The 12,481-nt window shown below is 35.0% G+C and overlaps 1 protein-coding gene and 1 long non-coding RNA gene across 19 annotated transcripts in view; one reads left to right on the plus strand and one right to left on the minus strand.

Moving 5' to 3' along the window:
• Positions 1 to 12,481, plus strand: part of RMDN2 (regulator of microtubule dynamics 2) — a 146,238-nt gene that overhangs the window by 42,964 nt on the left and 90,793 nt on the right. For all 18 annotated transcript variants that reach the window (XR_939668.4, XM_047443519.1, XM_047443518.1 and 15 more), the window contains 2 exons: positions 10,176 to 10,350; positions 11,348 to 11,450. Coding sequence is in view for 17 of the 18 variants with exons in the window: in XM_047443519.1 (XP_047299475.1) it covers positions 10,176 to 10,350; positions 11,348 to 11,450 (278 nt within the window). In the remaining variant the exon portion in view is untranslated. The remainder of the gene's footprint in view (positions 1 to 10,175; positions 10,351 to 11,347; positions 11,451 to 12,481) is intronic.
• Positions 1 to 12,481, minus strand: part of RMDN2-AS1 (RMDN2 antisense RNA 1) — an 86,008-nt gene that overhangs the window by 13,531 nt on the left and 59,996 nt on the right. The gene's annotated exons all lie outside the window — the stretch shown is intronic.

A 12,481-nucleotide genomic window follows, 5' to 3' on the forward strand; every position in this document is an offset into this window, starting at 1 on the left:
GGGCTCCTCACTTCCCAGCAGGGGCGGCGGGGCAGAGGCGCCCCCCCACCTCCCGGACGGGGCGGCGGCCAGGCGGAGGTGCCCCCCACCTCCCTCCCGGACAGGGCGGCTGGCCGGGCGGGGGCTGCCCCCCACCTCCCTCCCGGACGGGGCGGCTGGCCTGGCGGGGGCTGCCCCCCACCTCCCTCCCGGACGTGGCGGCTGCCGGGCGGAGGCGCTCCTCACTTCCCAGACGGGGCGGCTGCCAGATGGAGGGGCTCCTCACTTCTCAGACGGGGCGCCTGCCGGGCGGAGGGGCTCCTCACTTCTCAGACAGGGCAGCTGCCGGGCGGAGGGGCTCCTCACTTCTCAGACAGGGCGGCTGCCGGGCGGAGGGGCTCCTCCATACACGTGAGTTTCTTTGGTTGAGTCCGTTGTACAAAAATCTTCCTTCTTTTAATGTAAGCATTTCCAGGTATAAATTTTCCTCCTATCACCTCTTTTGCTACATCCCATAAGTTTTTGGTATGTTATGTTTTCATTTTCATTTGACTCAAGATGTTTTCTTATTTGCCTTGTGATTGCATCTTTGGCCCATTGGTTGTTTAAAAGTATGTTTTTTAATTCTCACATATTTATGGATTTTCCAGTTTTTCTTCTGCTGATTTCTAGTTTCATGTTTATTGTGATCCAGAAAATATGCTTCATATAATTTCTATGTTTGTAAATTAACTAAGACTTATTTCGTGGCCTAATATATTATCTACTTGGAGAATATTCCACATGCATTGGAGACGAATGTGTATTCTGTTATTTTTGGGTGGCATGGTCTATATGTGTTGTTAGGACCTACAGGTTTATAGGTCTATAGTGATGTTTAAGTCCTCTATTTCCTTACTAATCATCCGCCTGGTTGTTTTATCCATTATTAAAATTGGGTCATTGAATTCGTTTACTATTACTTTATTATTAAAGTAATGGTATTACTATGGTATTATTATTTTATTTTTACTATTATTGTGTTGCTATTTCTTTTTTCAATTCTGTCAGTGTTTGCTTCATATATTTAGGAAGGATGATGTTGAGTGCATTTAGTGTTATTGTTATATCTTCTTGGTAATTGGCTCTTTTATTATGTCCTGCCTTTGTCTCTTGTACAATTTTTGACTTAAAGTCTATTTTGTCTACTAGTATAGCCACTCCCACTCTCTTTTGTTTACTGTTTTCATGAAATATGTTTTTCTGTCCTTCCATATTCAACATATGTGTGTTTTTAGATCAAAAATTAGTCTCTTTTGGACAGCATATCGTTAAATCCCAATTTTTAAAACCCATTCTGCCAATATACCTTTTGATTGAGGAATTTAATCCCATTTATATTTGAAGTCATTACAGATAGGAAAGGACTTATTATTTCATTTTGTTATTGATTTTGTATATGCCATAGATTTTTTTGTCCCTCATTTTCTCCATTGCTACCTCTCTTTGTGTTTAGTTTTTTTTTTTTTTTTAGTGATATGTTTTGATTTCCTTTTACATATATTCTATAAATATGTTTTGTGGTTGCCATGGGGATTATTCATAGCATCCTAAAGTTATAACAACATATTTTAAATTCATACCAACTTAATTTTAATTACATACAAAAATTCTACTCCTTTCCAGCTCCACCACCCATGTATTTTGTTGATATTACAAATTACATCTTTATGTTGTATTATCATTAATCTAGAATCATTAATATAGATTCATAATTACTTTTTACTTTTCTCTTTAGATGATGTAAAAGAATAAAAGGTGGAGTTATGAGCCAAACTTAGAATAATTCTGTTATATTTTCCCATGTCTTTACCTTTACTACAGAATATTATATTTTTGTATGGTTCAAGTGACTGTCTAAGGTCCTTTTTGTTTCAACTTGAGGGACTCCTTTTAGCATTTATTGTAGGGAAATTCTAGTGATAGTGAACTTCCTCAGCTTTTATTTAGAAATATTTTAATTTCTCCCTCATTTTTGAAGGACAGTTTTGCTGTTTATAGAAATCTCAGGTAACAGGTTTCTCTTTTCTTTCAGCACTTTAAATATATCGTCCCACTGCCTTCTGGTTTGCAAGGTTTCTGCTGAGAAATCTGCTGATGATTTTATTGAGGAATCCTTAAATGTAATGAGTTGCTTTTCTTTTGCTGCTTTTGAGATTCTTTTTGTCTTTAGCATTCAGTACTTTAAGTATGATATTCTTGGTGTGGATCTTTTTGGGTTTATCCCACTTGGAGTTTGTTAAGTTATTGCATTTGTGGCCGGGCGTGGTGGCTCACGCCTGTAATCCCAGCACTTTGGGAGGCCGAGGCAGGTGGATCACGAGGTCAAATCGAGACCATCCTGGCTAACACGGTGAAACCCTGTCTTTACTAAAAATACAAAAATTAGCCAGGTGTGGTGGCAGGCACCTGTAGTCCCAGCTACTTGGGAGGCTGAGGCAGGAGAATGGCATGAACCCAGGAGGCAGAACTTACAGTGAGCCGAGATCATGCCACTGCATTCCAGCCTGGGCAACAGAGTGAGGCTCTGTCTTAAAAAAAAAAAAAAAGTTCTTACATTTGTATTTCATTGTGTTTCCTAGATTTGGCTTTGGCCGTTGTTTCTTCAAATTAGCTTACTGCCACTTTCTCTCTCTTCTCCTTCTGGAACCCCTACAATATGTGTATATGTCTGCTTCATGAGGCCCCGTAGGTCCTTTAGGCTCTATTTACTTTTTTTTCATTTTTTATTCTTTTTGTTCCTCAGAACCAATATTTTCAAATGACCTGTCTTAAAGTTTGCCTGGTTGTTTGTTTGTTTTTTTGCCTGTTTGAGTCTTCTGTTGGTCCCTTCCAGTAAATTTTTAGTTCAGTTATCATATGAGAGGGTCTTCAAAAAGTTCATGGAAAATGAATATTATGAAAAAACTATGCACTGGTTTCACACTTTTTTGCACCAAAATAAGCTTATGCTAACTCACCATAATATATCTGAAAAAGATCTAGTTTGAGACACTAAGAAGGATAAGACATTAGTTTGATAAAAGCCCCTATCAGAGCAACATGCATTTTACTAAAATTGAAGCAAGAACAAACATCAAATTTATGGTGAAGCTTGGGTGGAAGAATGGTGAAATCATTGATGCTTTACAAAAAGTTTATGGGGACAGTGCCCGAAAGAAATAAGCCAAATGGAGAGCTCATTTTAAGAAGGGATGAGGTGATGTTAAAGATGAAGCCCACAGAGACACTTCCACATCAATTTGCAAGAAAAAAATGAATTTTGTTTGTGTCCTCTAATTGAAGAAAACCAATGATTAATAGCAGAAATAATAGCTAGTACCATAGACATCTCTGTTGGTTCTGTTTATACTATTCTGACTAAAAAATTAAAGTTAAACAAACTTTCCATTGAATGGGTGCTAAAACTGTTGCATCAAGATCAGCTGCAGAGAAGAACAGAGCTTTCAAGAGAAATTATTAACAAGTGGGATGAAGATCTTGAAGCATTTCTTTAAGGAATCATAACAGGAGATGAAATATGGCCTTACCAGTCCAATCCTGAAGACAAAGTACAATCAAAGCAATGGCGCCCAAGAGGTGAAAGTGGTCCAATCAAAGCAAAAGCAGACTGGTCAAGAGAAATGTCATGGCAACAGACTTTTGGATGCTCAAGGTATTTTGCTTGTTGACTTTCTAGAAGACCAAAGAATGATGACATCTACTTATTATGAAAGTGTTTTGAGAAAGTTAGTCAAAGCTTTAGTAGGAAAATTCTGGGGAAAGCATCATCAGAGTATTCTTCTCCACCATGATGATACTCCTGCTCATTCCTCTCATCGAACAAGGGCAATTTTGCAAGAGTTTCTTTCAGTGGGAAATCATTAGGCTTCCACCTTAGAGTCCTCATTTGATTTGGCTCTTTTCAACTTTTGTTTCCTAATCTTAAAAAAAATTTTTTAAAGCACCAATTTTTCTTCAGTTAATAATGTACAAAAGACAACATTGATATGGTTCAATTCCCAGGACCCTCAGTTCTTTAGAGATGGACTAAATGGCTGGTATGTTCACTTACAAAATTGTCTTGACCTTGATGAATTATGTGCTGAGAAATAAAGTTTATGTTTTGTATTTTTATCTTTTAATTCCTTTTTTCCGTGAACTTTTTGAAGTCCCCTCATACTTACCAAAGCTCTAGATGACATAAAATTTCAGGACATGTTGTATGTGGTAGTTTCTTGGTCTCCCACAAAGATATTTCAGAAAGTCTGTTGTTAGGCTAGGTGCAATGGGTCAAGGCCAAGCATGGTGGCTCATGCCTGTAATCCCAGCACTTTGGGAGGACGAGGTGGGCAGATCACTTGAGGTCAGGAGTTCGAGACCAGCCTGGCCAACATGGTGAAACCTGGTCTCTACTAAAAATACAACAAAATTAGCTGGGCACCGTGGCAGGCACCTGTAATCCCAGCTTGGGGGGCTGAGGCAGGAGAATCACTTGAACCCGGAGGCGTAGGCAGCAGTGAGCCGTGATCACACCACTGCCCTCCAGCCTGGGTGACAGAGCGAGACTCTGTCTCAAAAAAAAAAAAAAAAAAAAAAAGAAAGTCTGTTGTTGTTTACTTGATGTTTTCATGGGGAAATGAGGACCTATTTCAATGTAACTCACTCCTGATGTACTTATGTAAATACACTCTTTTATTTTCACAGTAAATAATGTCTTTTTCTCCCAAAATAATGCAACTCTGCTTTCAGAGATGCTGTTGTTGCTATTGAAATAAACAGTTGATCATGCAGAGTTGAAGGGATAGGAACAATGGCATAGTTTTTGTGAAAATTTAGAGCAGAAGAAAGGACCAGAAAAGTGCATGTAGAACAAATGTTTGTAAGCAAATTTGACATCTTAAGATGAACTTCTCTAGACCTGCTGAAAGGCTATTAGAAAATTCTAGGTTTGACATCAGATAATCTATGAAATGCCTTTGGGAGGAGGGCTGGGTAGTACAAAACTAATTTCTAACCCAAAGTTAATAAATACAGTTAAATTTTCTCAATAATGCATGGATATGCCCTATTTTTAAAATTCTCTTTCAGAACTTTCTTATAAGTTTCTGAGAAATATCCAGTTTTAAATAGAAGATCCCTGTTCAAAGTAGGAAACCAATTTTCCCACAGCTGGGTTTTTTTTTTTTTTCAATGTGGGAAATAGACTAGCGTACATGTTCTCTTTTGTTGCCCAGTTTACCTGTTGCTATACCAATACCACATTGACCCAGTTTCTTTAGCTTTATCCTTTATACTGCAGTTCTGATATTGGTTCTTCAAAATTGTCTTGGCTCTTCTTGCACTTGCCTTTCCATATTAATTTTAGGGTCAGGTCTGTTCCATAGAAAATTCCATTGGAATTTTTCTCAGAATTGCATTAAAAGTATAAATTAATGTGGAGCCTTATGAAATTGTTTTAATTAAATTTTCGTATCCATGAATATATTGTTTTCCATTTACTTAGGTATTCTTTAATGTTTTCAGATATTATTTTGTAATTTTCCCCAGAAAACTCATTTTAAAACTTTTGTGAAATTTTTTCATAGGTATCTTATATTTTTCTTACTATTATAAATGTTATATTTTTATAAAATTATATTTTCTTGTTTTATAGAGTATAAGAACAAAATTGATTTTGGAAGATTTATTATAAATCCTAATTAGTTCTAATTACTTATATGTAAATTTTGTTAGGTCCTCTATTGAATAATCTTCAAAAAATAAGATTGTTTCTTTTTTCCAATTATTATAATTTTTGTTTTTCTTTTAATATTGTGCCAAAAAGACTTCCAGTACAATGTTGAATAGAAGAGCAATATTGGACATATTTTTCTATTCTTGATTTTGAAGAGACTGCTTCTAATGTTTCATAATTAAGTGTGAAATGTATTATTGTATTTAGCATATAGCCTTTTTCAGGTTTGAAAGGCTCCTCCCTCCCTCCCTTCCTTCCTATTTTTTCTTTCTTTTTTTTCTCTCCTGCTTGCTTCCTTGCTTTCTCTTTCTTTCCTTCCTTTCCCTTTCCTGTTTTCTTTCCCTTTCCCTTTTCAACAGTTTCTTACTCTGTCTCCCAGGCTGGAGTGCAGTGGCACAATCATAGCTTACTGCAGCCTCAACTTTCTAGACTCAAGCTATCCTCTCACCTCACCCTCCTGAGTAGTTGGGACTACAGGTGTGGGCCACTAAACCCAGCTAATTTTTTAATTTTTTGTAGAGACAGTGTTTTGCCATGTTGTGCAGGCTAGTTTTGGACTCCTGGGCTCAAGTGATCTTCCTGCCTCCTGAAGTGCTGGGAATATACCGCACCTGGCTGCCTTCTATTTCTTGTTTAAGGCTTTGGTATTTCTTTTGTCCTGAAGTGGTGTTGGAATTTATTGGAAAAAAAAATTTTTTTGGTAATGACTGAATTGATCAGATAGGTCTCATCTGTTGCGCCAGAGAAATTGTCTAATGTCAAACTGTGCTTGTAATTTCTAGTATAATCTCAATTTGGTTGTAATACATAATTTTATATTTGTTGCAATAGCTTGATTGATATTTTATTGAGGATTTTTGCATTTATGTTTATGTGTAAGATTGGCCTATAATTTTTATTTTTTGTAATATTCATGTTTGGTTTTTGTGTCAGTTATATTAGTTTTATAAAATAAACCTGAGGGGCATTCCATCTTTAGTAATTCTTTAGAAGAATTTGAATAAGCCTAATTATTTGGATATATGGCAGATTTCACAATAAAACTATTCTATGTGTGCATGGGAGAGACAGAATTAGAGCAAGAGATAGAGAGCAAGTTGCAGTAGATACATAATTCTGATGTAATTCATTTAATGGCTATAGCAACATTTGAGTTTTTGTTCTTATAAAGAATAACATAAAGATAATAGCTTTATACCTTTATAAAAGCTGTATATTATTTGTTACCATAAAGCTCCATCTTTTAAATTACATAATTTGGTGGTTTTTATTTGCAGAGTTGCCCATTTTTAAATTGAATTATTTGTCTTTTTATTGTCGAATTGTTAAGAGTTTTATATATATTTTGTATACAAGTCTCTTATCAGATATATGATTCATAACATATTTTCTTCTATTCTGTGGGTTTTTTCACTTTTTTAATGGTATCTTTTGAAGCACCTAAGTTTTTCATTTTGATAAAGTCTAATTTATTCATTTTTTTCTTTTGTCACTTGTGCTTATGATGTCATGTCTAAGAAACCATTGCTTAATCCAAGATCACAAATATTTGCTCCTATGTTTTCTTATGAGAAAGAAAACATATACATATAAAATGTTGTCAAACATTTTATAGTTCTAGCTCTTACACTTAGGTTTGATACATTTTGAGTTAATTTTTATATATGATAGGAAGTGAGAGTTCCTTTTTTGCATTTGCTTATCCATTTGTTCTAGCACTATTTGTTGAAGAGTATTGTTTCCTCCGCTAAACTGTCTTGGCACTCTTATCAAAATAAACTGATCATAATTTTAAGAAATTATTTCTGGACGCTTAATTTTGAATAGATGATCCATAATGTCTATTTCATATGTCTTACCCCAAGGACTAAAATATATTCGTCTGTATTTTGTACTAGATTTTTAAAATATATAACATTTTCTTAAACTATCCAGTTATGTTTTTTAAAAATATAAGGTAGAGTTTCAATTTCATCTTTTTCCATAGAGATAACAATTTTTCCCATCTGAATGCCTGAATTTCCTACTGATCTTACATGCCAACTCTCCCATGTACCACATTTTCATATGCATGTGGGTCTGTTTCTAGGCTCTGTTCTATCATTCACTCATCTATTGCTGTACCAATACCACACTGTCTTTAATTATTATAGCTTCATAGTAGGTCCTAAAATCTGGTGGGGTAAGTCTTCTCTCCTTGCTCCCTTTAAGAGTGCTTTGGCTGTCCTGGGCTCTTTGCTTTTTCATATAACTTTTAGAATCATCTTATTTAATTCTACAAAAATTCCTATTAGGCTTATAAAGTTTGAATTGCATTGAATCTATAGATTAACCTGGAAAGAATTCACATATTTATGATATTGGGTCTTCTAAACCATGAACGTGATATATTTCTCCATGAATTTAGGTCATTTTAGAAACATCTTTTAATATGCTTTTATAATTTTCTCCATTGAATTTTCACATATCTTTTGTTAGATTTATTCCTAGCCATTTGATATTCTCTGAGGTCACTGCAAATTGAATATTTTATTTAATTATGTTTGTAGTTTTTTGCTGATATGTAGAAATTAAACTGACTTTCATATGTTAATATTATATTCAGCCAATTTGCTATACTCTCCTATTAATCAAAATTTGTAGAATTTTTATTTTTATGTAAATAATCATAACATCTGCAATAATAAGAAGATTACATTTGAACAAAGATATGAAATATGCAAAGAAATAAACTATATGAATATCTGGAGAAGAACATACCAGGCAGAAGAAAGAAAAAATACAAAGGGTTTAAAGCAGGAACATGACTGATATGTTCAAGGAATATCAAGGAAGTTAGAGTTTCTGGAATGCTGTGAGCAAGCAGGAAAGTGATAGAAGATAAGACCAGAGGTATTGGCCAGATTATGTTAGGCCTTGTAGACCCCTGAAAGGACTTAGGTTTTCACTCTGACTTGGACATCTGATGGAGGGTTTTGAGCAAAGGAGTGACGTGATCTGAGTTATTCTTGCTACTCTGTTGAGAATAGAATATAAGGGTCAAGGACTAAAGCAAAGAGGTGTGATAAGGGGTCATTGCAGTAATCCAGATGAGATGATGGAGGCTTAGACCAAGGTGGTAGTGGGGAGAGGTGGGGAGAAGTGGCTAGATTCTGGATGTATTTTGACGATAGAACCAGCAGGATTTGCTAACAGACTGGGTATTGCTTAAGAGAAAGAAAAAAGCATCAAGGATGATTCCAAGTTTTTTGGTTTGAGCAATTGGAAGAGTAGAGTTTCCGTTAGTAAAGAATGTTATTGAAGAAGTGGGAGATCAGTTCATACAGTATCTTCTTTGTAAGGCATATGAAAGAAATTTAAGAACTTGCTTTGTTAGTTTTTTTGTTTGTTTCTATCTAACGGGAGCTGCAAGTTGTGAAGCTGATTGCATTGCATGCTAGAAAATGAAGAACATTTGTGTCCTTTGTAGCAAAGGTATAGCTATCTAAAATTTGTGTGTTTTTTATATTGACTTCATTCACATTTGGCCTTTGTCTTTTTTCACTATTTCTAATTTATTCTCTTATATGTTATATATCCTTGTATACCTCCTTAAAACCTTTTTAGAACAGGCAGAGTCTGAATTAATAAAAATAAGTTGTTTGTATTGTTTGCTGGCAAAAATGAAATGTAGGCAATAGTATTAATTTTTAAAAACCACGTTAAAGTTTAAACTTAGATCATCTTGAACTATAAATATGTGTTTTTGTGAGTTTACACACACAGTTTTGAGTGCCTGCTGAGTTCCTACAACTGTATCATCCATTCAGCAAATTCAGTGAATAGTGCTGTTCTAGGCACTTGATACATCAGTTAATGAACCTACCATCAGGGAGCTTGCATTCTCCTGGGGAGGATACTGACAAACAGCACATGTAGTAGATTAGTAAATTATACAGTATGTTAGAAGGTAATACATGCTATGGGAAAAGAAAAAAGCATTATGAGGGAGGTTAGAGATGAAGGGAATGTGGGGATTGAGGTATTAGAGTGGTCTGGATGGGCCACATTGAGAAAATGAAATTGGAGCAGAGACTTGAAGGAGGTGAGGGCGTGAGTTATGTGGCTGTCTAAGGAAACGGCGTTTCATTAAAGGGAACAGCAAGTGGAGGTTCCGAGGTAGGCACGTGATTAGAATATTGAAGGAGCAGCTAGGTGACCTGTGTGTATTTGAATAAGAAGAGTAGTAGGAAATGAGATCAAAGAGGTAACGAGATCGTGGGCAAATTGCGCAGGGACTTGTAGACTTCTGTTAGGACTGGAGCTTTTTCTGAGTGAAAGCACGTGCCACTGCAGAGTTTCAAGCATAAGAGGGGCATGATTTGACTTGCATTTTAAAAGGAATGCTCTGGCTATTATACTTAACTTTCAAAGGAGTTGATGATTATTTCTGCGATTTTAGGTATATTACAGCTAATACTGACACAGAAGAACAGAGTTTTCCAGTCCCTAAGGCATTTAACACACGTGTAGAGGAATTAAATTTAGATGTCCTTCTTCAGAAGGTAGATCATTTACGTATGAGTGAGTCTGGCAAGTCGGAGAGTTTTGAACTACTTCGTGACCACAAAGAAAAGGTAAGAGACATAACAATAGCACTTCGTATAGTTCCATTTTTTAATTTAATCTGCCATCTGTTTCAGTTATAACTATAATAATTGTGTCATGGTTCCCACATTTTGATGATTGATGTAAAATTTCTCTATAAAATGACTAAAATTTTTTAAAATTTATTTTTTATTTAAGATGCATAAAATTTTAAAAAAGTAAATGTAAAAGTTTATTAGACTCTAAGGTCATAAAAATGAGAACCAGAGCTATAATTACGCAGATTTACTTTTATTTGATTTTTTTTTTTTACTAATTTATATATTTAACAAATATTTTGAGACAGATATGGGTATTCAAAGCTATTTCTACCAATGGTCATTTGTTGATTTTGCAGTGTTTAGTGTTGGGTCTGAATAAGAAAAGCCTGTCCAGAGCTCTTACCACCACCACTAAAAAAAATAAAATAAAATAAAATAAAATTAAAAATTAAAAGTTTGCAGTGTCCCATGGAGAAATAAATCTCTATTTGTCTGAGGATTTAGCAACTCTAAACACATTGTCTAAAACTTGATAGCTCTCCAGGATTATATTTAGGTAATTTGAGTAAAAAAAGTGACTGCTCTTTTGAGTATATGCATTTTCAATTTACAGATATTAACTGAGATGCTCATTATATTGATAATAGATAACTTGGAAAGGAAAAGAAGAAAAGGATGCCACAGCTCAGGAAGAATTTCTAGATTTTGGTGCCTATCAAATCTCTTCTCTGCATAGATGGAGCTAGTGTCTGGATAATATTAATTGGTTTTAAGATCCAAATGTAACACTACATTAGGTCATATTTCTTAGCCATGAGTATTTGGATTAAAAATGTTTCACACGAAATATGCATATACATAGATTCAATAATCTATAAATACCAGTTTACCTGCCTAAGTTTTTAAAAAGTTGCAGTAGAAAACAAGAATAGAATAGACAAGTTACCAAGTTAATTTAACAGGCAACTCCATCTTTTCTTTTCAGTTTAGAGATGAAATAGAGTTTATGTGGCGATTTGCTCGTGCTTATGGAGACATGTATGAACTATCTACAAACACACAAGAAAAGAAACATTATGCTAATATTGGTAAGCATTTTGTAAAGATTATTCTCAAGTAGCAATTAAGATCTATAGTAAATCATGCAGCCGTAAAAAAGGATGAGTTCATGTCCTTTGCAGGGACATGGATGAAGCTGGAAACCATCATTCTCAGCAAACTAACACAAGAACAGAAAACCAAACACTGCATGTTCTCACTCATAAGTGGGAGTTGAACAATGAGAATACATGGACACAGGGAGGGGAACATCACACAACAGGGCCTGTCTTGGGGTGGGAGGCTAGGGGAGGGATAGCATTAGGAGAAATACCTAATGTAGATGTCGGGTTGATGGGTGCAGAAAACCACCGTGGCACGTGTATACCTATGACCTGCATGTTTTGCACATGTATGCAAGAACTTAAAGTGTAATAAAAAAAAAGATCTATAGTAAATCACTAGTGAATGTTAACTAAAGCTAAATTATCTTAGCTAAAACCAGTATGTTTAATCTATTTTAATATATTATGGTACAAAAAAATGTACACTCTCAGAACAGAAAGGCATTTTAGGGCTAAAGTATATGTTCTTCAGAAATATTTGAATATATTAGAATAGGTAACTGAAAAAAACTTAAATTTCATCTTTTAACTTTATAAAACTTAGACAAGAAATGTAGTGGCAGTGTTTGAGAAACAATAACAGGCAGAGGACAAGTGTCTTCAGCAGTTGTCAACCACAGTTAAAGTAACACATCTTACTTCCTGTAATGTAGAACTCTAGGGACTACGAAGAATAAACTCGCAGACTTTAATGTTTTTTCCAAATGTATCTTGATGAAACAAGATTAACCTTGTTAAAAACTCTGTTTGATAATTGTCTAAGCTGAATGATGATTACATGTTGGTTCATTATTCTGACATCTATACTTTTCTACAAGTTTTTGAAATTTTTCATCACAACAAGAACAACTAAATAGATAGAATATCAAACTGTTATTTTTATACCTCACCTTGACTCTTACTGGATGTCAAAATGTGTCCTTGCAAAAGCCCCTACCTGCCATCTCTCTGAATGT

Source organism: Homo sapiens, chromosome 2 (genome assembly GCF_000001405.40).
Source record: "Homo sapiens chromosome 2, GRCh38.p14 Primary Assembly".
Classification (NCBI taxonomy): Eukaryota; Metazoa; Chordata; class Mammalia; order Primates; family Hominidae; genus Homo; species Homo sapiens.